A 22461-nucleotide genomic window follows, 5' to 3' on the forward strand; every position below is an offset into this window, starting at 1 on the left:
TGAAAAGAAGCCAATGAAGGGCAGGACGTGTAGCTGTCTACCTACAGGAAACCAGCCAGGAGCCTCCCCACAGGGACTTCAGCACAGATGGCCGGGAAAATCTGCATTCACCTGAGCTCTGGACCTAAGAGAGGACAAGGCCTTGACCATTTCTACAGACTCACAAGATGCAATCTCTGTGGTCCATGCCCGTGGTGTGATCTGGGAAGCAGGGGGCCTTCTAAATGCCAACAACAAGGAAATCAAATGTGCAACAAACAGAAATAACGGCATTGACGTGGGCCATGGAAAGGCCTAAACAGATGACTGCAGTTCACTGCCAAGGTCATCAAAGGGGTGACTCTGAAATAATAAATTTCAGACGCCATGGCCCAAATAGCTGCATGAGGTGGGGAAGTCCTCCACATGCCTCTGCTTCCTTCGGTACCTGTTTATGAAATCAGCCGAGGTACTTCCCTGGGGAATTTCCTTTCTTTCTTTCTTTCTTTCGAGACGGAGTCTTGCTCTGTCGCCCAGGCTAGAGTGCAGTGGTGCAATCTCGGCTCACTGCAACCTCTCCCTCCTGGGTTTTAGCAATTCTCCTGCATCAGACTTCTGAGTAGCTGAGATTACAGGTGCATGCCACCATGCCCAGCTAATATTTGTAGTTTTAGTAGAGACAGGGTTTCACCATCTAGGCCAGGCTGGTCTTGAACTCCTGACCTCGTGATCCACCCGTCTTGGCCTCCCAAAGTGCTGGGATTACAGGTGTGAGCCATCAAGCCCGGACCTTTTTTTTATTTTTTGAGACGACGTTTCACTCTTGTTGCCCACGCTGGAGTGCAATGGCACGATCTCAGCTCACTGCCACCTCCTCCTCCCAGGTTCAAGCGATTATCCTGCCTCAGCCTCTCGAGTAGCTGGGATTACAGGCACCCAACACCAAACCCAGCTAACTTATTGTATTTTTAGTAGAGATGGGATGTCACCATGTTGGCCAGGATGGTCTTGAACCCCTGACCTCTAACGATCCACCTGAATTGGTTTCCCAAAATGTTGGGATTACAGGCACAAGCCACTGCGCCCAGCCCCTCCCATACCTCTTTTGGCCAAGGCAGCACAATTCAGAAGAATCTTGCCAGGGAAGACTGGTAAATGGATGTCAACGTGATGCCTATGGCTCCTGGTGGATTTAGATACCTCCTGGTGCTTATTGATATCTTTACCAGTTGCACAGGGGCTTTTCCATGCCAGACTGAAAACGCAGAAGATCAATGATCAACCTTCAACTATTTACTAGCAGAACACTGAGGGGACTGTGCGGTCACCAATACCTCCTATTGCACTTGGATAAACACCTCCCAGGAAATAGAGATGAATAGAAAGGACATAGTCAAACAAGCAGAATGGCTGCATTCCTTCAACCAGAAGGGTCCATTAGTCTGTTTTCACACTGCTATAAAGAACTATGAGAAACTGGGTAATTTATGAAGAAAAGAGGTTTAATTGACTCACAGTTCTGCAGGCTGTACAGGAAGCGTGGCTGGGGAGGCCTCAGGAAACTGACAATCACGGCAGAAGGCGAAGGGGAAGCAGGCACGTCTGGCCATGTTGGAGCAGGAGAGACAGAGAGAGTGAAGTGGGAGGGCTGCACGCTTTTAAACAACCAGATCCCACAAGCGCTCACTCAATATCACGAGAACAGCAAGGGGGAAGTCGGCCCCCATGAGCCAATCACCTCCCACCAGGTCCCTCCCACAACACTGGGAATTACAATTTGACATGACATTTGGGTGTGGATACAGAGCTGAACCATGTCAAGGGTAGTTCAACCGCTGAGATTGATTGATTGATTGATTGACTGAGATGGAGTCCTGCTCTGTTACCTAGGCTGGAGTGCAGTGGCACAATCTCGGCTCACTGCAACCTCCGCCTCCCGGGTTCAAGCGATTCTCCTGCCTCAGCCTCCCGAGTAGCTGGGACTACAGCACATGCCACCATGCCTAGCTAATTTTTGTATTTTTAGTAGAAACAGGGCTTCACCATGTTTGCCAGGCTGGTCTTGAACTCCTGACCTCGTGATCACCCTGCCTCGGCTTTTCTTTGCTGTGGCTCTTTCCCCTCTAAACTGTTCTAGATTCCCAGGCGCCCTGCTAGGAACAGGTGTGGGCCACCCTGGGGTGAGCTGCCTCCCAGAGGCCTGGAAGGACCAGGCCTTGCCAATCACCGACAAGGGACGTAGAAGAGCACCCCCAAAGGACAGTAGGTCCCCGCCCGGATCTGGCCCACAGCACCCGAGGGACCCTGCAGCACTACAGAAGTCCCATGGGGCAGACGGGAGCCACAGGCCCAGACTCCACAGCCCCTCAGTCCACATGTCCTGGAGCCTGTGGTGGAAGTCCCTGTTCTTCCATCACCGCCGCCTCTCCCTGAGGACCTCCGAAGAAACAGGCCAGGGCTGTCCCAGGCCTGGGCACACGGGCCAGTGTCCAGCCCACCCCGTCTGCCCCTCCAGGCCCCGCCCTCACCCGGAAGCGCTCCTCCAGCAGGGACAGCTCACTGATGAGGTCGGTGATGGCGTTGGTAAAGGCTTCCTGGGGGCTGTAGTCCGGCGTGGTCTGCACTCGGATGATGATCTTGTGCTCCAAGGGGTGGGGGACTTTGTAGCCAGCAAATAGCACTTGCGGGTCTTTTAGGAGTTGTCTGAGGTCCAGGGACAGACAGTGTGAGGGTCTAGCCTCATGCCCAAGCTGGGTAGCAGCCAGCTCAGAGCAGAAGAACAGACTTTCTAGCCAAAAATCCCCCCCAACTTTTTTCCCAAAAAGTCTTCAAGGAAAGTAACACTTTTAGGAAGATACCTCATGTGGGGACACCCTATCCCCGCCACACACACACACTCTGCATCCATGAGGTTGAAGGACCCGAGCTGGAAAGAGATTCCAGCAACCTCTTCCCACCGGGCACCGCAGTGCTGGCAAAGAGATCTCCCAGGCAGTGAATGTCCAGCCAGTGTTCAGTGACTCAGACCCAAAAAGCCCACAAAGAGCCTCCACGCAGCAAATAAAGGCAGCAGGAGAGGAGGGCCAGCTCCCGGCAGTGAGTGGAATGCAAATGGAACTCTGCCCTCCGAGCAGCACAGCCGCCAGCGGCTGGCCACGCACACTGGGCCTTGTGCCATGGGGCTGCATCGCGTACTGTGCCCTGGGCATGCAGGGGTCTCCTCTAGAGTGGCTCAGAGTGGCGTGAGCACCACAAGGGGGACCCGTGCATAGGTGGCAACACTGAGCTCAAGAGCAGGGGAGCAGCAGGGCCCCAGGAGAGCTTGGGTGCCCCACTGGCTGGGCTCCGGGCAGGATTCCTCCATCCCCGTGCCTGACCACACCAGGAGACTGGGCAGACCCCACTCACAGACGGGGAAAAGCCTGGCTTCGCTGGTGGCACCAGAGGGAAGAGCCAAGTCTACAGTAAAATGGCAAGTCCCTGGGCCAGAATGGCAGACACATCCCTGACCAACCACCTGGCTAGGACCTCACTGGTATAAACAAACACCCACCAACCAATGCAGGGTGCCCATTAGGGGCACTGGATAGCCACAGAACTCCTACTTCTTTCTCTTGTTAAATAGAAGTTCTAGTCTCTGCCACATACATCTTAGAGGCCCAGGTGGCACTGAGGTCACAAACGGGTGGCATGAGGGGAGCTAATCTTGACTGCTTTTCAATGTCCCTCAGCATGAATAACAAACAGGCCTACTGTGCTGGAATCTGCTGCTCGTTCATTTACAGAATGTGCACTTAATGGTGAATGTAAGGCCGGGCGCAGTAGCTCACGTCTCTAATCCCAGCACTTTGGGAAGCCAGCAGGTGGATCACCTGAGGTCAGGAGTTCGAGACCAGCCTGGCCAACACAGTGAATCCCCGTCTCTACTAAAAACACAAAAATTAGCCGGGCATCGTGGCGTGGGCCTGTAGTCCCAGCTACTAGGAAGGCTGAAGCAGGAGAATCACTTGAACCCGGGAGGCGGAGGTTGCAGTGAGCAAGATCGTGCCATTGCACTCCAGCCTGGGCAACAAAGAGAGAAAATTCCATCTCAAAAACAAACAAACAAACAAACAGTGAATGTAAATGCACGTGTTCATCTACAGAATAAGCCACTACAGAAGTGTGGCTTATGTGAAGACATGGAGGTCGGTGTCATTTTGATAAAAAGGTACCAAGATTATAAAATGCCCAGAGCAAGCCCCCAGAAGGACTTCCTGTAGCTCAGAGAGACTGAGGAAGACTTGGAACTTGTGCTTTGCCCAGAGGGGCCCATTAAACATAGCCCCTGAGAGCCTGTGACGGGAAACTTACGATTTAATGATGTTTCCCAGTGTGTGGTCTTCTTTGTTGATGGTGAATAAACAGGCATTGGGTACCTTGGTGTCCTTGTTAATGGTGATCCTAGGAAGACACAGAGGCCACAGATGAGGAGCAGGGGCTCCCCTCCTCCCACCCTGAGTCTAAACCCTGTCTCCTCCCGGCCAGGTGTGGTGGCTCGTGTCTGTAATCCCAACACTTTGGGAGGCTGAGGTGGATGGATGACCTGAGGTCAGAAGTTCAAGACCAGCCTGCCCAACATGGCAAAACCCTGTCTGTACTAAAAATACAAAGAAAAAAAAAAAATTAGCTGAGTGTGGTGATCCATGCCTGTAGTCCTAGCTACTTGGGAGACTGAGGCAGGAGAATCACCTGAACCTGGGAGGTGGAGTTGCAGTGAGCCGAGATCATGCCACTGCACTCCAGCCTGGGCAACAGAGTGGAACTCTGTATCAAAAATATAAAAATAAAAAGGAAAAATAAGCTCTGCCTCTTCCTGAAGGCCTTTCTCAATCTCTTCATCCCATAAAGGCCTCGCCAACCCGGTCCCCTACTTCCTGCTACCCCAGGTCTATGGAACCTTGGCCTTTTCTGAATTCCTCCTTTTTTTTTTCCGGTAGAGATGGGGTTTTGCCTTGTTGTCCTCGCTGGTCTTGAACTCCTCGCCTCAAATGATCTCTCCTGCTGCCCAGGCTGGAGTGCAGTGGTGTGATCATAGCTCACTGCAGCCTCCAACTCCTCGGCTAAAGTGATCCTCCCGCCTTAGCCTCCTGAGTAGCTGGGACCACAGGCGCACGTCATCATGCCTGGCCTGTTCCTTTTTTCTTACGCCAACATAATGAAGCAACCAAAAGGTGAAGAAGAGAGGCCCTGAAGTTACACGGTGAGGCTGGTCCTGACCCTGTGAGTTCCGAAAGCAACCATCCCCCTGGCTGGAGTGTGCAGTCCTTCCATCCATTCCCCAAAACAAGTCATGCTCTGGCATTTACTATGATTTTAGTGAACGCTTAGATGGACAAAGACAGGAAACTTCCATTGGATTTTCCAAGACAAGGGGTTTTCAGAGTGCAGTTCCCAGATAAGCAGCATCAGAATCCCCTGGGAACTTGTTAAGAGTCTCCCACCTCCCACTTACTGGACCCAGAACTCTGGAGGTGGGGCGCAGGGATCTATGGTTTAAGAAGCCCTTCAGGTGATTCTAATGCACACTCAATTTGAGGGCAACTATGCTGACAGTAAAATCTCACACAGGTGAGAGGTATCAAGTTGAATATCCTTTTTTCTAAGGTGGTTTCTCCAGGCTGACACCACACACATTTTAGGGTGCATCATTCTTTCCTGTGGGGTGCTGTCTTGTGGACATTGTAGGACATCAGCAGCATCCCTGACCTCTACCCAGTAGATTCCAGTCATAACCCCCTTTGACAACCAATAATGTTCTCAGTTATTGCCACATGTCCCTTGTGGGGCCAAATGGTCCCCAGTTGAGAGTCTGCTCTAAAGGAGGCCGAAGTGGCTGGCAAGGGCCAGACCAAGACCTCTGCACGCCAACCTGGGAACAATAAGAGCCAATGGTTATGAGGTTTTCCAGGGGCTGAGCTTTGGACCAAGAGTTTTACACAAATTACCTCATCCAATTCTTTTTATTTTGAGACAGGATTGCGCTCAGTCGCCCAGGCTGGAGTGCAGTGATGCGATCAAAGCTCACTGCAGCCTGGAACTCCTGTGCTCAGCTCAAGCAATCCTCCCACCTGAGCCTCCCAAAGTGCCGGGATTAAAAGCGTGAACCAGCGCACCTGGCCAGATCCCTTTTTTTGTTTTTTGAAACGGAGTTTCGCTCTTGTTGCTCAGGCTGGAGTGCAATGGCGTGATCTCCGCTCACCTCAACCTCCACTTCCCAGGTTCAAGTGATTCTCCTGCCTCAGCCTTCTGAGTAGCTGGGATTACAGGCATCTGCCACCACGCCCGGCTAATTTTGTATTTTTAGTAGAGACAGGGTTTCTCCATGTTGGTCAGGCTGGTCTTGAACTCCCGACCTCAGGTGATCCGCCCGCCTCGGGCTCCCAAAGTGCTGGGATTACAGGTGTCAGCCACCGCACCCGGCCTGAATCCCACGTTTAAGTACAGTAATAAACTCATTTTCCAGATGAGGAAACAGGGCCTCCGACAGATCAAGCCACTCGCCCACAGATACAGAGTGAGCCCAAGCTCTCTCCCCTGGACTCCTTCAACCCGCAGGCAGCGAGGAGCCACTGCGGCTTTTACGCAGGCCGCTGACAGATCGGAGGGGATGAAGGATGGAGGTGGCGGGCGAGAGACAAAAAGAGGAAGCTGCCAGATCCCAGAGGAAAAGGGCTATGGAGAACCAGACACTCTGGGTTCGAATACAAGCGCCGCCACTTCCTGTGTCCGGGGCAACTTGCTCGCCTCCAAGCCTCAGTGTCCTCATCTGCAAAATGAACACACTCGCGACTGCCTCGCGGAACGGCCTTAAATTTGGCTGACACAGGCCGAGCAGACGATCAAGCAAAAGCTGTTTCCCTCCCGGGGCAAGAGATGGGCAGGAGACACCCCAGAATGCGACAGCCGCAGGCCCGCGCACCTCGGCCCTCCGCAGCCGGCGTCACTTACTTCTCGCCCTCGAAGAGCAAGAACGACTCGAAGGCTGGAGGGGCGTTCATGCTCCCGCCGCCGTTGCGTCCAGACCCCAAGTGTCCGCCACCGCCGCCACCAGAGCCCTAATAAGAGGCCTCTTCCGGATTACTCCGGCGGGGCAAACCCGCGCAAGGATCGGCTCATCGCCCCCTGTTGGGCTGGAGGATCTTGCGCAGGCGCGAGAAAACCCCGAGCGAGACCAGTGTCTCTGCGCATGCGTCAGTGGCGAGCGCACCGCCCCCCCCCCCCCCCACCCCCCCACCCCGCACCCCGGCATGGCTTTCCCCGTGGGCGCTTTTCGGCGCATGCTCAGAGCGCCGGCAGGGCTGTTCTGCCCCTACAGAGGCCTCCTAGTCCTGGCTGAGCGGGAACCTCAAGCTGTACCTTTCTCCTTTCCCCATGTCCCTTGATCTCTCTTTGGAAACGTGCACCCCCTTGGAGTGCGCAGCAGGAGGCCCCTGAATAGAGAGAATAAAGCTAAGGGGTAGTGGACAGCTGCGGCTAGCAGCCGTAGGGGGAGCAGAAGATCTCGTGGCCAGAGGCAGATCTATGACAAGCCCCCTGCCCAGGCTGCCTATACCGACTGCTGCAGGACCTCTGCCTGGGGGGTGCAGCTGGCTTGTTAGCCGGGAGGGACAATTGGGTGAGGGATGCAGAAGGAGGCAGGTGTATACAGCAGTGAGAGGGGAGCCCGTAGGGTTACGTATATCTTTTTATATATTATTATTATTATTTAGAGACAGCGTCTCCCTCTGTCGCCCAGGCTGAAGTACAGTGGCGCCATCATGCAGCCTCCAACTCCTGGGCTCCAGAGATCCTCCTGCCTCAGCCTCCCGATAGTTAGGACTGCAGGCATGTGCCATCACACTTAGCTATTTTTTTTTTTATTTTTGGAGATGGTGGGGGGGGGGGTCTCCCTATGTTGCCCAGGCTGGTATTGAACTCCTGGCCTCCAGCAGTCCTCCAGCCTCAGCCTCCCAAAGTGCACTTGGTGGATGTGGGCAGCAAGCCACCCAGGTGCCGAGGCAAGAGACCGAGGGCACGAGCTGTTCCAGTATAATAAAATATATAAAATAAGAATAGTTATACTAGATATAGATCTGAGATATGATTATATATGAATCATTAATCATTAGTTTGTAGTAATTATTCTTTATTCCAATATTATAATAATCCTCGCTCTACAATCATAACCTAGGAAAAACCAGGCCATACAGAGATGGGAGCTGAGGGGACAGTGAGGAGTGACCAGAAGACAAGAGTGCAAGCTTTCTGTTATGCCCGGACAGGGCCACCAGAGGGCTCCTTGGTCTAGCGGTAACGCCAGCATCTGGGAAGACACCTGTTGCCAAGCCCACCGTGGTCTAGCTGTAGCGTTAGTGTCAAGGAAAAACACCCGCTACTTAGCAGACCGGGAAAGGGAGTCTCCCTTTCCCCGGGGGAGTTTAGAGAAGACTCTACTCCTCCACAGGCCCGCCCACAGTTACCCGGAGGCATAACCGTCTCCCTGTGATGCTGTGCTTCAGTGGTCACGCTCCTAGTCCACCTTCATGTTCCATCCTGTACACCTGGCTCTGCCTTCTAGATAGCAGTAGCAAATTAGTGAAAGTACTAAAAGTCTCTGATAAGCAGAAATAATGGTGTAAGCTGTCTCTCTCTCTTTCTCCTCTCTCTCTCTGCCTCGGCTGCCAGGCAGGGAAGGGCCCCTGTCCAGTGGACACGTGACCCATGTGGCCTTACCTATCATTGGAGATGGCTCACTCTCCTTATCCTGCCCCTTTGTCTTGTATCCAATAAATATCAGCGCAGCCTGGCATTCAGGGCCACTACTGGTCTCTGCGTCTTGGTGGTAGTGGTCCCCCCAGCCCAGCTGTCTTTTATCTCTTTGTCTTGTGTCTTTATTTCTGCGCTCTCTCGTCTCTGCACATGGAGAGAAACCCACCGACCCTGTGGGGCTGGACCCTACAGGTGGATAAGTGTATCTTACCCTTTTTGGTTTGGTTGCTTTGCAGACTACAGTTTAGCATAAAGGCCCTCCTTAAGCTGTTTGAAGCAACAGGGACTGGGGTCTCAGAGGAGCTACCAGGGCCCTAACAGTTTGGCAGCTGTTTCTCCAAGGCTGGGCAGCAGCTACAGTGCTGAGGAAATCTGGAGCATCTACCCCTTCTGGGAAGGCCCATTTCCTACTTGAGTTCTTGCACCCTGGCAGGAGGAAATCTCATTCTGCAACAGCCCCACACAGAATCTGACTTTCCAGGCGAAGTGGGTGGGCACCTCTTTAACTGCTGAGGAACAGAAAGTGATATGGGTAGGCTGGGTGCGGTGACTCACGCCTGTAATCCTAGCACTTTGGCACTTTGAGAGGCTGAGGCAGGCGGATCACTTGAGGTCAGGAGTTAGAGACCAGCCTGGCCAACATGGTGAAACCTCATCTCTACTAAAAATACAAAAAATTAGTCGGGCGTGGTGGTGGGCACCTGTAATCCCAGCTACTTGGGAGGCAGAGGCAGGAGAATCGCTTGAACCCGGGAGGCGGAGGTTGCAGTGAGCCGAGATTGCGCCACTGCACTCAGCCTCCCAAAGTACTGGGATTACAGGCGTGAGCCACTGTTCCTAGCCAAGGGTAGCATCCTTGACCCAAGCTTTTCCAGGGTGACCCAGAAGTGTGGAGGTTATATCCTCAGGGAATTATTACCCTTATCACTTTTTTTCTTTTTTTCTCTTTTTTTCTTTTTTTTTTTGAGATAGCATCTCGCTCTGTCGCCCAGGCTGGAGTGCAGTGGCATGATCTCGGCTCTGTTGTCTAGGCTGGAGTGCAGTGGTGAGATCATAGCTCACTGCAGCTTCAAGCTCCTGGGCTCAAGCAGTCCTCCTGCCTCAGCCTCCCCAGTACCTGGGACCACAGGCAGGCACCACGGCGCCCTGCTAGTTTTTTTCTTTTTACTTTTTGTAGCGATGGGGTCCAACTTTATTGCCTAGGCTGGTCTCGAACTCCTGACCTCAAGCAATCTTCTCGCCTTGGCCTCTCAAAGTGCTGGGATTATAGGCATGAGCCCTGCCCCTGGCCACACATACCATGCTAATTTGTTACACATTGGCTGTGGTTGCTTTCATGCTACATGGCATGGTGGTTGTGACTGAGAGCTGCATGTCTGGTCCTTTACAGAAAACGTTTGCTGATCCTAATCTTGGGGATTGTGCCTGTGTTGACTTTGCTATTTATTGTTTGGTTACAGCCCAGACACTGAAGTTACTTATTAGCTTGTGGGTGTCTATCCCGTAGAAAAGAAAACTTCATGGCCGGGCGCAGTGGCTCACACCTGTAATCCCAGCACTTTGGGAGGCCGAGGTGGGCAGATCACGAGGTCAGGAGATGGAGACGATCCTGGCCAACATGGTGAAACCCCATCTCTACTAAAAATACAAAAATTAGCTGGGTGTGGCGGTGAGCACCTGTAATCCCAGCTACTCGGGAGGCTGAGGCAGGAGAATTGCTTGAACCCGGGAGGCAGAAGTTGCAGTGAGCCAAGATCGCACCACTGTACTCCAGCCTGGACGACAGAATGAGCCTCCGTCTCAAAAAAAACAAAAAACAAAAAAAAAAAAAAAGAAAAGAAAACTTCATTAATTAACCACTTTCGTATGTAATATCACAATCTTATTCTAGCATTCTTCTCTTAAAGTGTTTACGGGCCAGGCACAGTGGCTCACATCTGTAGTCCCAGCACTTAGGGAGGCTGAGGGAGGATTGCCTGAGCCCAGGAGTTTGAAACTAGCCTGGGCAATATAGCAAGATCTTGTCTCTACTAAAAATTTAAAAAATCAGCAGGGCATAGTAGTGTGTGCCTGTAGTTGCATTTACTTGGGAGGCTGAAGCAATAGGATTGCTTGAGCCCAGGAGGAACAGGCTACAATGAGCTATGACTGCACCACTGCATTCCAGCCTGGGTGGCAGAGCGAGACCCTGTCTCAAAAACAAAACAAAACAAAAGAATGCTTACAAATACATGAAATACATGTACCCAGCTTCTCAGAATGATCCATGAATCAGAGTTCCCACTCTTTTTCTGAATTGATGCGTAGTAGATCTTTGATATGTGTTCATGATATATATGAGTCATCTTTTTTACATGTTTGAAAATTATACTTTGAAAAGGCCTTGTCCGGAGGTGGTTGCTGCATACCTGTTCAGATTTCCTAAGAGGTTGAGAGAAACAGGTACTGGGTGAGCTAGGTCCAGTCAAGCCTTCCCAGGGTGCCTGCCCTGCCCTGTGGTGAACACCAGCCCCCTGGGCTGCAGATATCTGCCTGGGGGTCCAATCAGATCCTCAAGACATCTGGGACTGGGCATGGTGGCTCATGCCTGTAATCCTAGCACTTTGTGAGGATGAGGTGGGCGGATCACTTGAGTTCAGGAGTTCAAAACCAGCCTGGCCAACATGGTGAAACCCCATCTCTACTAAAAAATACAAAAATTAGTCAGGCGTGGTGATGGGCACCTGTAATTCCAGCTATTCGGGAGGCTGAGGTGGGATAATCACTTGAACTTGGAAGGCAGAGGTTGCAGTGAGCCGAGAATGTTCCACTATCCTCCAGCTTGGGTAACAGAGGGAGACTCTGTCTCAAAAAAAAAAAAAAAAAAAAATAGGCCAGGTGCGGTGGCTTACACCTGTAATCTCAGCACTTTGGGAGGCTGAGGCAGAAGGATCATCTTAGGTCAGGAGTTTAAGACCAGCATGGCCAATATGGTGAAACTCCATGAAACCCCATCTCTGCTAAAAAAAAAAAAAAGACAAAATATTAGCTGGGAGTGGTGGCATGTGCCTGTAAATCCCAGCTACTCAGGAGGCTGAGGCAGGAGAATCGCCTCAACCTGGGAGGTGGAGGTTGCAGTGAGTTGAGATCACACCACTGCCCTCCAGCCTGGGCGACAGAACCAGATTCCATCTCAAACAAAAACAAAAACAAAAACAAACAAACAAAACATCTGGGAACCTGCCCCAGGCCCCAGTTGAATGCCAGGGCTTGAAGTCTCTGGGAGGGGGTGGTATAGACTTGTGGGACAGATGGAAGGTATACCCTCTCCTGCTCCTCTCGCTTTTCCAGGTGGCCTCCAGAAACAATGTGGCATGATGGACTATGGGCAGCTCTGCTCAGGGCCTGAGAGGAGAACCAGGGGGCAGTGCCAGGCATGCACTGATGTTAACTTCCCTTCCAGCTGCAGTGGTCAGGATCTGGGGAGGGGAGGAGAGGCATGGTGGATGCTGCCAGAAGGGTGGCTGTGTGTGTGCACTCAAGATCCAGGTTTCCACTTGTAGCCCTAATAAGTCCACGGCTCCTTCCCTTTCACTGCCTGCGTTTAGGCTCAGGAGACCCTGGAGGCCATACTTCCTAGAGAGAAGGTCCTTGAAACCCAAGGAGATCCAACAGGCATGAGGATTTTTGTGTACCCCTAAGGAAGTAGCCAGAGAACCAGGTGCTGGTGATTTGGGGTGGGGTAGGGGCTGCATCAGGCTCAGCTGTCCCTGGACCCAGGGCCTTGGGCCAGGAAGGGAGGGGAGGGACCCAATCCAGCAAAAAGGCTTAGTTGCCCATAGGACGGCAGAGCACAGCAGGCTATGAAGCTCTAAGGGGTCGGGCTGGTGGGCTGCCTATGGGGGAAATGGTATCCACCAAGGCCACAGCCAGGAGAAAAGGTTGGTATGGCCCCAAAAGCCACAGGGAAGAGGGAGAGGGCAGGCCCCTTGAATCTTAATTTCCCCTTGACCTTTTTATTTTTTTTTTTGAGACAGCGTCTCTCTGTCACCCAGGCTGGAGTGGAGTGGCCCGATCTCGGCTCACTGCAACCTCCACCTCCTAAATTCAAGCAATTCTCCTGCCTCAGCCTCTCAAGTAGTGATTACAGGCACCTGCCACCATGTCCAGCTAATTTTTGTATTTTTAGTAGAGACAGGGTTTCACCATGTTGACCAGGCTGGTCTCTAACTCCTGACCTCAGGTGATCCACCCACCTTGGCCTCCCAAAGTACTGGGATTACAGGCATGAGCCACCGTGCCCAGCCCTCTTTGCCTTTCCCTACTATTCCTGGAAGAGCCAAGGTATACAGGATGCCCCACTGGCCCTGCCCCAGAACCTAGCTGGGCAGCCAGGTCAGGGGTCATGTCTGAGCCCTGGGACACTGGGGGCTGTCCTAGGCTAAGGACAAAGGGGAGGCTCAGAGCTTGCTTGGATGAGCGTTGAGAATGTGTTCGTGGCTGGGTGCGGTGGTCCTGTAATCCCAGCGCTCTGGGAGGCTGAAGTGGGAGGATGGCTTGAGCCCAGGAGTTGGAGACCAACCTGGACAACATGGTGAGACCCTGTCTCTACCAAAAGTACAAAAAATTAGCTGGGCATGATGGTGCACACCTGTAGTCCCAGCTACTCAGAAGGCTGAGGCAGGAGGATCACTTGAACTCAGGAGTTGGAAGCCGCAGTGAGTTATGATCACTCCACTCCACTCCAGCCTGGGCAACACAGTAAGACTCTGTCTCAAAAAAAAAAAAAAAAAAAAAAAAAAAAAAAAAAAAAAAAGATGTTCTGGAAGACTCTGCCCCTCCTCTCCTCTGTCTTGTTGTTTTTTTTTTTTTTTTTGAGATGGAGAATCACTCTGTCACCCAGGCTGGAGTGCAGTGGTGCGATCTCAGTTCACTGCAACCTCCGCCTCCCGGGTTCAATCCAATTCTCCTAAGTAGTAGGGGTTACAGATGCGCACCACCGCACCTGGCTAATTTCTGTGTTTTTAGTAGAGACTGGGCTTTGCCATGTTGGCCATGGTTTGCCAGGCTGGTCTCGAACTCCTGAACTCATGTGATCTGCCGGCCTCAGCCTCCCAAAGTGCTGGGATTACAGGTATCCTCAGTCTTGTTAATTACACTGGGGTTTACATTGCTGTGTACAGTGAGATCAGGATGAGGGTGGTGAGGTGGTGATCAGGGGGACCCATGCTTCTGCTCAGGGGGTTGGCAGAAGCCAGCAAGGCTTGGGGTTTCCCTGTTTGGAGCGCTCCAAGTTGAGAGTGCAGAGGAGTGTGAGATGCGTGTGAAAATGCAAACTTGGCTCTCCCTGGCTGGAGGCTGGCATTGGGTGAGTCTCTGGTAGGACCAGGCCATGTATACTTTTTAAGCTTTTTTATTCTTGAAAAGTTCAAAGATATACAAAGATAGACTATGCAGGATAATGAGCCCCCACATACTCCGCATCTCTTGTCTGTAATTATCAGCTCGTGGCTACCTCTACCTCTCCCCTCTACCTCTTGTCTCATCTCTACCTCTCCCCCTGACCCCTGCCTCTGGGTCATTTTGCAGCAAATCCCAAATGCCTATATCATTTATCCTAAATATTCCATAAACATTCCACTATGTAGCTCTGAAAGATAAGGACGCTTACAACACAACTGCAATATCTTTTTTGTTTGTTTGTTTGTTTTTGTAAAGACGGGGATTTCGCCACGTTGCCCAGGCTGGTCTCGAACTCCTGAGCTCAAGCGATTCTCCCACCTCAGCCTGCCAAGTAGCTGGGATTACAGGCATGTGCCACTGTGCCCAGCCAAGTGCAGTATCTTATCACACCTTTAAAAATTAATAATTCCAATCATCCTATAGTTGATCAGTGTTCAAATTTCCAATTGCCTCATAAAAAGATCATTTCTTAACATTTTGTTTTGTTGCAATTGGTTGCTGTAAGTCACCTAAATATCTTCTCTTTTTTATACTTTTTATTGTAGTAAAATAGGTATAACATACAATTTGCCATTTTAACCATTTTAAGTGTTTAACTCAGTGGTGTTAATTACATTCACAATGTGTAGCCATCACCACTATTTAGTTCAAAAATTTCAAGTCTCCTTTATTTTCCTTTTTTTTTTTTTTTTTTTTTTAATTTTAGGGACTAGGTTTTGCTATGTTGCCCAGGCTGGCCTTAAACTCCTGGCCTCAAGGTGATCCTTCTGTCTTGGCCTCCCGAGTAGCTGGGACTAGAGGTGTGCACCGTCACACCCAGCTTCAAGTCTCTTATTATAAAGTTCTGGCCACGCACAGTGGCTCGCAACTGTAATCTCAGCACTTTCGGAGGCCAAGGCGGTCAGATCACCTGAGGTCAGGAGTTCGAGACCAGTCTGGCCAACATGGAGAAACTCCGTCTCTACTAAAAATACAAGAATTAGCTGGGCATGGTGGCACACGCCTTTAGTCCCAGCTACTCGGGAGGCTGAGGCAAGAGAATTGCTTGAACCTGGGAGGCAGAGGTTGCAGTGAACCAAGATCAAGCCATTTGCACTCCAGCCTGGGCAACACAGTGAGACTCTGTCTCAAAAAAAAAAAAAAAAAAAAAACTATAAAGTTCCCCTTCATCTGAAAATTGAATGTGATTTTAAACAACCTATTTGAGCTCTGAGGTAGATGTCTAAGTTCAAAGCCCACTCCTCCTTTCTGGGGGTCCCAGTTTCGTGATCTCTTCTTCCCTTTCCTTCCTGGTAGCTTAAAAAAATAGAGATAACAGGATAAAGGTGAGGAATGAAGGAATGAATGGATGCAGGCAGACGTGAAAACAGCGCCCACCTGGAGAGCTAGAAACATCTGGAGGGCTGGGACCACCTGGAGACGCCCCGTGTCTATGAGCTGCTGTTGTGAGGAGCCTGGAGCCAGTGGACGCTGGGAGGGAGGAGGCTTTAGAGTGGGGGGCAACCGGGGGAGGAAGGAGGTTGGCTGAGCCAGGTCTGGGGGCCTCAGGGACTTCTGTGTCCTCATAACCCACAAAAGCCCTGCCCACCCTGCCCCGGGGCGGCCCACAGTAGCAGCGGCTGGTGGTCCCTACAGCCGGTCAGCCCCAAGAGCGGGCACAACGTGTGGCCTGGGTACCACAGGGCCAGAAGAGAGGGACAGGGGCCCTGCTCCTGTCACCTGCTGCTTCTGCCACCCCAGGACCAAGTCATTGGTGTGAGCCGGTGGCCAGACATCACTGCCCCGCAGGCAGTGGGGGCTCCTCTTGGGCTGGGGGCAGGGCTTGGTGGGCAGCCCTATGGGAGGGGGAGCTGGTGGGGGACCACAGGGACTGACCAAAGAAAGGCAGGCCAGATCCCAGGACAGCAGGGGTTCTAAGTCCCCAAGAGTGGGGACTGGGCCGGAGTCAAGTTTTGCCAACCATCGGACCAGCCCCGGGCCTCTATGATGAAGGCATCAGAGAAACCCCATGGGGCCAGAAAGGGGCTGGGGCAACGGTGCACCTTTGGGATCTGGGGTCAGAGGGGGAAGGAGGTGACTGCATGGCAAGGCAAGAGCTGAAGGCCTTCTGGAGAAGGAGGGTCCAGTCCTTGTCCCCACCCTGATCCAGGTCACTGTGGACGCAGCTGGGAGCTGAGCCTGGCAGCCCATGTGACACAATGGTGGGGGGATGGGAGCCCCTACGTGGCCAACACTGCCAGCCACACAGCTAGAGGGCTTGGGGTAAGGGCTGCGTGAAGAGGAATGGGGTCTCTGAGTCCCGCCTCTGTGCTGTCCTCAGGGACACCCTAGAGAAGGGACTTGCTTGGGGGCTGCTTTGAGGAGAGAACAGCTGGTTGGACACACTGGGCTCTGTGGCCTGTGGGACATGAAAGAGGGGACCCAGGGACAGCAACTGGGAAGGGAAAGGAACCCCCGACCCCAGAAGAGTGGGGGGAAGAAAGAGGGGGGAACAGGGATGCCCAGAGCCCATACTGTCAGCCCCATCATCGGCACATCCACCGACAGCCTCCGGGGTCCCCCCGGGCCCACTTTCTCCCCAGACCCTCATCACAAGACCCCAGAGCCTGGACAGTAAGAGCAGGTTTACTGTTGGCAACAGCACAGCCCTGTGGCACCCAAGGGTAGCGGGTGGGGTGGCGGCCGGGTCTCCTGGGGCCCCGTTCTCCCTCCCATTCTCTAGGTCCCTGGAGGCCAGACCCCTGGGTGCGGCCCATCCTAGCAGTGGTTCTGGCTGGGTCTGTCCTGGGCAGGAGAGGAGGGTCCCTGGAGAGGCAGTGATGGCTACAGCGTCTGTAGGGAGCTGGGGACACTTCCGGCCAGCCATGACAGGCCCAAGCCTGCTCAGCTCTGCACTTCTGGGGATCCCCTTATTCCTGACTCTCCCCCCTCCCCCACCTGGAAGAGACCTAGGCCCTGCACCCTAATGAGGAGGACCGGGGTGAGGGGGTGCAGAGTGTCCTGGGGGGGCTCCGAGCGCTTGGCAGGGGACTCAGCAAGGGGAGCGTAGGGCGGGCCTCACGTCTGCAGCTCCAGGAGGCAGTTGGGCTCTGAGGGTGGGGAGCCGGCCGGGCTGGAGCTATGGGCCTCGCGGAGGTCCTGCAGCACCCGGAGCAGCCGGGCCAATGAGTCCTCGGGGACTGTGGGCAGAGGCAGCCGTGAGGGCCCCTGGGAGTGAGCCCGAGGACCCCACCCGTGCATCTCTGGAGGGGGCTCGGGCCACGAGCAAGTCCCAGGTGGGCAAGACCTACCTTTGCCAGGGCTCGTGGGCACCGTGCCTGCCTCTGCGCCCCCGCTCAGCTCCCGGTGCCTCTCCCTGTGGGGGAGGTCAGAGTGAGGGCCAGCAGCCTCCACTCTCCCTGCCAGACCTTCTGGTGTCCTTGTGGGAAGGCTGGGGGTGGCCCAGCATGGGCCTCCTGGGCTAGAGGTGGCTCTGGGGGTGATGGCAGGGCTGACTCTTTCAGTCTGTGAAGAGGCTGGGCCAAGGCCCACCAGGGCACCTTCCACCTTCTCCCTCCCCGTGTCTCCTCCTCCTCCCCATCCCACTGTGGGTTGACCAGAAGGCCCTTTGCATTTGTTTTGTTTTGTTTTTGAGACAGAGTCTTGTTCTGCGGTCCAGGCTGGAGTGCAGTGGCGCAATCTAAGCTCACTGCAACTTCCACCTCCTGGGTTCAAGCAATTCTCCTGCCTCAGCCTCCTGAGTAGCTGGGATTACAGGCACCCTCCACCACATCAGTTAATTTTTGTATTTTTAGTAGAGAAGAGGTTTCGCCATGTTGGCCAGGCTGGTTTCAAACTCCTGATCTCCAACAATCTGCCTGCCTCCACCTCCCAAAGAGCTGGGATAACAGGCATGAGTCACCGCACCCCACCTTCGTGGGTTTTGAGGGCAGAGATAAACCCTGGAAGAGTCGATGAGGAATGGGGAGGACCACACCCTTCCTCCTTGCAGAGTGTAGGGGTGTGACAGATGAATGAGCTCCAGCTCCAGTTGGCTCAGGGGAAGCTGAGCGCATGGGAAGCACTGGATCACCTTGAAGTATCCTGGCACCAGCCACATCTCCAGAGACCCTGAGTGATGGGGCCTTGGCATCCTGTTTTTTAAAGCTGATCTTTAAAAGCATCTTGTTTTTTCTAAGCTTCTGCCAAGGCTGAGAACCACTGGATGAAGCAAGATGGCCAGGGAACTCAGGGAATTGGCTGAGGCTGTGCCTGTACTCCAAGGGCCCAGGGGAACAGCTGGGCAGGTTGCAAGGTGGGCTCAGTCAGCACATGGCATGAAGCAGGCATGGCCCTGACCCTTGGGGCCTCTGTCCTAACCTGAGCTGGCCTCGTGCTGCAGAGAGGTACTCCTGGTGCCCTCCCCAGATGTGGCCAATTACAAGAGAGGTGACCAGCCACCATGGAGCAGCCCCAAGCCTGGCACGTTCCCCAGGCTGCACAGGCTCTCCTGGGTGGGACTCACCACAGCATGGCCTCCACGCCCAGCAGGTGCCGGTAGATGAGCTGGGCCTCAAGGTCATGGTCAAGAGGGTCATTCCACTCCTGCAGGGTCACCCGTGACCGGGTCTTATCGCAGCCCTGACCTGGGGGCACAGAGAGGGCAAAGTTACGAGCAGACACTTGGGACTACCATGTCCAACACTGTGGTTGCACAGATGGAGAAACAGAGGCCTGGAGAGGAGAGAGATGCACTCGGGGGTCCCTAGTGAGGGCTGGGCTGGGAGCATAGCCTGGTAAGTCTGACCCAGGCCCTGCCTCGGCTCCCCACCCTCTGTGGGCAGCAGCTCCTCTTGGGGTCAGCCCCTGCACCACGGGATGCGTGACTGAGGAGCATGGATATCATCAGGATATGACTCGGGTTGCTGGGTAACTTTTGGTTTTTTTTGAGACGGAGTCTCGCTCTGTCGTGCAGGCTGCAGTGCAGTGGCGCGATCTTGGCTCACTGCGAGCTCTGCCTCCCAGGTTCACGCCATTCTCCTGTTTCAGCCTCCTGAGTAGCTGGGACTGCAGATGCCCGCCACCACGCCCAGCTAATTTTTTATATTTTTAGTAGAGACGGGGTTTCATTGTGTTAGCCAGGATGGTCTCGATCTCCTGACCTCGTGATTTGCCCGTCTCGGCCTCCCAAAGTGCTGAGATTACAGGCGTGAGCCACCGCGCCCAGCCAGGGAGCCGGGTAACTTTCTGGAAGACTGTCTGCCTGGAAGGGAGCAGGCTGAAATGTTAACATCATGGTGAGGTGGGCCACAGGGGGTTCATGCCTTAGAATGAGCTGGTCCTGCAGCTTGCTGTCTTTATGACCTTGCCAAGTCATCTGCCTTCCCTAAGCCTCAGCTTCTCCTCCATACAGTGGAATAACAGGCCCTGTCTCTTGGGCCAGGGTGGGTCCCACCTTGCCGATAATGAGAGTATCGCTCTGATGGTTACAGGCAGAGGCTGCAGGCCATATCAGCCAGCCAGCAATGCCCTTGCAAAGAGTCACCAAGAGGCCAGGCACAGTGGCTCACACCTGTAATCCCAGCACTTTGGGAGGCTGAGGCAGGAAGATAGCTTGAGGCCAGGAGTTCAAGACCAGTCTGGGCAACACAGTGAGACCCTGACTCTACAAAAAAATAAAATAAAAAATAGCTGGGTGTGGTGGCATGTGCCTGTAGTCCCAGTTCTGCAGGAGGCTGAGGCAGGAGGATGGCTTGAGCCCAGGAGGTCAAGGCTACAGTGAGCTATGATTATGCCACTGCACTCCAGCCTGGGTGAGAGAGTGAGAGACCCAACTCAAAACAAAAACAAAAACAAAAGAGTCACCCATCCCTATACAGTGCTTGGCTGTAAATCCAGGGCTGGGCTAGAGTGCGTGGGTCAGTTTTCGATGGCCTCTGCCACACTGGGCTCTGGGGACCAAGATTTGGCCTGGCCTGAAGGACAGGGGACTCGAAGTGCTGAGTCTACTCTGTAAAGTAAGTGTGGATAACAGGGAGAAGGTCTCGAAAGTTCTAGAACTGTGCTGTTCTACAGGGCGGCAGCTAGCCACATGAAGCTATTTGAGTTAATTAAAATTAAAACAACGTTTTTTGTTTCTTTTCTGTTTTTTTTTTTGTTTTTTTGTTTTTTTTTTTTTGAGATGGAGTCTCGCTCTGTCGCCAGGCTGGAGTGCAGTGGCACCATCTTGGCTTACTGCAACCTCTGCCTCCCAGGTTCAAGCAGTTCTCCTGCCTCAGCCTCCTGAGTAGCTGGGACTACAGGCCCACGCCGCCATGCCTGGCTAATTTTTTTTTTGTATTTTAGCAGAGATGGGGTTTCACCATGTTGCCTAGGCTCGTCTCTAACTCCTGAGCTCAGGCAATCCGCCTACCTTGGCCTCCCAAAGTGCTAGGATTACAGGCGTGAGCCACCACACCCGGCCAAAACAACATTTTTAAAAATGTGAAACTCAGGCCAGATGTGGTGGCTCACTCCTACAATCTCAGCACTTTGGGAGGCCGAGGCAGGAGGATTGCTTGAGCCTGGGAATTCAAGACCAGCCTGAACAACATAGCAAGACCCCACCTCTAAAACAATTTTTTTTAAATGAGCCAGGTGTGGTGATGCATGCCGGTAGTGCCAGCCTACTCAGAGGCTGAGGCAGGAGGATTGCTTGAGCCCAGGAGTTGGAGGCTGCAGTGAGCTATGATCGTGCCACTGCACTCCAGCCTGGGCAACAGAGCAAGACCCTGTTTTAAAAAATTAAACAAAAAAAACCCCTCAGCTCCTCAAGCCACATTTCAAGTGCTCAAGAACCACAGGTGCTAGAACCTAGAGTACTACACAGTATGGAGTCCTTCTAGAAGCTCCTCTATGCCATCCCTCTAGTGCCCAAGGCTCAGGGTCCCCTCCCACCCACAGCTCCGGATTCAGATGGCCAGCATTGGAGTGTGCGAACCCAGGGGCTCTCTGGCTCTCATTAGCAGGGGGCTCCTCGAATGTGTTCCTGAGAACACCTGTTCTGTAAGAAGCTCCTTGGGGAAGAGAAGGGTTCCCTGTCAAAAGAGTTTGGGAAGTGCTGGGTTAAACCACGTTAGAAATGGAATTCTAGGCCGGGCGTGGTGGCTCACACCTGTAATCCCAGCACTTTGGGAGGCCGAGGAGGGCAGATCACGAGGTCGGGAGTTCAAGACCAGCCTGGCCAACATGGTAAAACCCCGTCTTTACTGAAAATACAAAACTTAGCTGGGTGCAGTGGCTTGCGCCTGTAGTACTTGGGAGGCTGAGGCAGGAGAATCACTTGAGCCTGGGAAACGGAGATTGCAGTGAGCCGAGATTGCACCACTGCACTCCAGCCTGGATGATAGAGCGAGACTCAGTATCAAACAACAACAACAACAACAACAACAACAACAACAAAACAAGAGCAGCTTGACTAACATGGTGAAACCCCATCTCTAGTCAAAATACAAAAAAATTAGCTAGGCTTGGTGGCGAGTGCCGGTCATCCCAGCTACTGGGGAGGTTGAGGCAGGAGAATTGCTTGACCCTGGGAGGTGGAGATTGCAGCGAGCTGAGATCGTGCCATTGCACTCCAGTCTGGGGGACAGAGTGAAAGTCTGTGTCTGAAAAAAAAAAAAAAAGAAGAAGAAGAAATAAAAAGAAATGGGATTCTAACGTGTTTTCGGGCCTCCTTAGAGCCTTCAGCGAATTCACTCATATGCATCACACACATCACGTGGCATTTCCCAAACCACCTGGTCCACGGGACCCTTTCTGCCCAGAGCTCCTGGAGGGGCCAGCATTCCTTGGGTTAGGTCCCTGCAGGTGCACAGCAGGGCTCAGGGTCCCATCGTTCAGCCAGAGGCCCGATCTCGCAGTGGACGGATGCAGAGCCCGGGACCCAGGCCTCCTCTCCCACCTGTCTTCTCTTTTTGGTGGCAGCAGCTCCACTTGTCCCCACGGAAGACGCCAGGGTGGTAGGAGCCCAGCAGTCCGGTGTTGTTGATGCTCACCTTCCGCAGCGCAGACAGCCACTGGTTAAGCTCATTCACACACTGCAGGGGACACGGAGGGGGAGGCCTGTTCAGACGTCACCTCCTCCAGGAAGCCCTCCTAACCCGGAGCTCCTGTACCACGCCAGACGCCATGTTCCCCACCATACCAACCCAGCAGCTTTGAGTGAATTAGGAGAAGCTGCCCTTCCTCCAGTGGAACATGACCCATGCCCGGGCGCATGGCCTGGAGAGC

General features: G+C 53.2%; 3 protein-coding genes and 1 long non-coding RNA gene across 13 annotated transcripts in view, besides 2 other annotated features; all 4 read right to left on the reverse strand.

Moving 5' to 3' along the window:
- The window catches only part of POLR2J3-UPK3BL2 (POLR2J3-UPK3BL2 readthrough), a 34665-nt gene extending 27584 nt beyond the window's left edge, over nt 1–7081 (reverse strand). The window contains exons 1-4 of the long non-coding RNA NR_173351.1: nt 6970–7081; nt 4333–4422; nt 2508–2682; nt 1495–1581 (exon numbers count right to left, since the gene is read on the reverse strand). This is a non-coding gene — a long non-coding RNA (POLR2J3-UPK3BL2 readthrough). The remainder of the gene's footprint in view (nt 1–1494; nt 1582–2507; nt 2683–4332; nt 4423–6969) is intronic.
- Nucleotides 1464–7081, reverse strand: POLR2J3 (RNA polymerase II subunit J3). Its single transcript, NM_001097615.3, has 4 exons — nt 6970–7081; nt 4333–4422; nt 2508–2682; nt 1464–1581 (listed from the first exon to the last, which is right to left on the reverse strand). The coding sequence occupies exons 1-4, from the start codon at nt 7017–7019 to the stop codon at nt 1549–1551; spliced, it is 348 nt and encodes a 115-aa protein (NP_001091084.2). The 5' UTR covers nt 7020–7081; the 3' UTR covers nt 1464–1548.
- Nucleotides 6220–6881: an enhancer, noted in NCBI's record as "H3K27ac-H3K4me1 hESC enhancer chr7:102212169-102212830 (GRCh37/hg19 assembly coordinates)". NCBI's record gives its function as "activates a minimal SCP1, AML or CMV promoter by ChIP-STARR-seq in primed H9 embryonic stem cells {active_cell/tissue: H9 hESC(primed)}" and the evidence as "EXISTENCE:reporter gene assay evidence [ECO:0000049][PMID:30033119]".
- Nucleotides 7248–7421: a silencer, noted in NCBI's record as "fragment chr7:102213197-102213370 (GRCh37/hg19 assembly coordinates)". NCBI's record gives its function as "represses an EF-1alpha promoter that drives an FKBP-Casp9 reporter gene in an ReSE screen in K562 erythroleukemia cells {active_cell/tissue: K562}" and the evidence as "EXISTENCE:reporter gene assay evidence [ECO:0000049][PMID:32094911]".
- On the reverse strand, nt 8205–14330 carry LOC124901712 (uncharacterized). The gene is made up of 2 exons (XM_047421160.1): nt 13930–14330; nt 8205–8422 (listed from the first exon to the last, which is right to left on the reverse strand). Exons 1-2 carry the CDS (start codon nt 14328–14330, stop codon nt 8305–8307), a joined length of 519 nt encoding a protein of 172 aa, XP_047277116.1. The 3' UTR covers nt 8205–8304.
- RASA4 (RAS p21 protein activator 4) overlaps nt 14144–22461 on the reverse strand; it is a 37113-nt gene continuing 28795 nt past the window's right edge. For 5 of the 10 annotated variants that reach the window (NM_001079877.2, NM_006989.6, XM_047419706.1 and 2 more), the window contains 4 exons: nt 22133–22268; nt 18716–18836; nt 17502–17566; nt 14144–17390 (listed from right to left, as the gene is read on the reverse strand). In NM_001079877.2, the coding sequence (NP_001073346.2) occupies nt 17269–17390; nt 17502–17566; nt 18716–18836; nt 22133–22268 (444 nt within the window). In that variant the 3' untranslated portion in view covers nt 14144–17268. Of the gene's footprint in view, nt 17391–17501; nt 17567–18715; nt 18837–21452; nt 21837–22132; nt 22269–22461 lie in introns of those variants that run through there. The other 5 variants (XM_047419708.1, XM_047419704.1, XM_047419702.1 and 2 more) reach the window with 4 other exon arrangements.

Source organism: Homo sapiens, chromosome 7, assembly GCF_000001405.40.
Source record: "Homo sapiens chromosome 7, GRCh38.p14 Primary Assembly".
NCBI classification, from domain to species: Eukaryota; Metazoa; Chordata; class Mammalia; order Primates; family Hominidae; genus Homo; species Homo sapiens.

Coding starts and splice junctions, on each gene's coding strand:
- POLR2J3 (NM_001097615.3), bottom strand. CDS start 7,019: ATGAACGCCCCTCCAGCCTTCGAGTCGTTCTTGCTCTTCGAGGGCGAG. Junction 2,683..4,332: donor CTGGGAAACATCATTAAATC/GTAAGTTTCCCG, acceptor CCTGGACCTCAG/ACAACTCCTAAAAGACCCGC. Junction 1,582..2,507: donor TGCTGGAGGAGCGCTTCCGG/GTGAGGGCGGGG, acceptor CAACATGGCCAG/ACGTGCCTGCTTCCCCTTCG.
- LOC124901712 (XM_047421160.1), bottom strand. CDS start 14,330: ATGACCCAGAGGCAGGGGTCAGGGGGAGAGGTAGAGATGAGACAAGAG. Junction 8,423..13,929: donor ACCCTCATCCTGATCTCACT/GTACACAGCAAT, acceptor CCCCGGGGAAAG/GGAGACTCCCTTTCCCGGTC.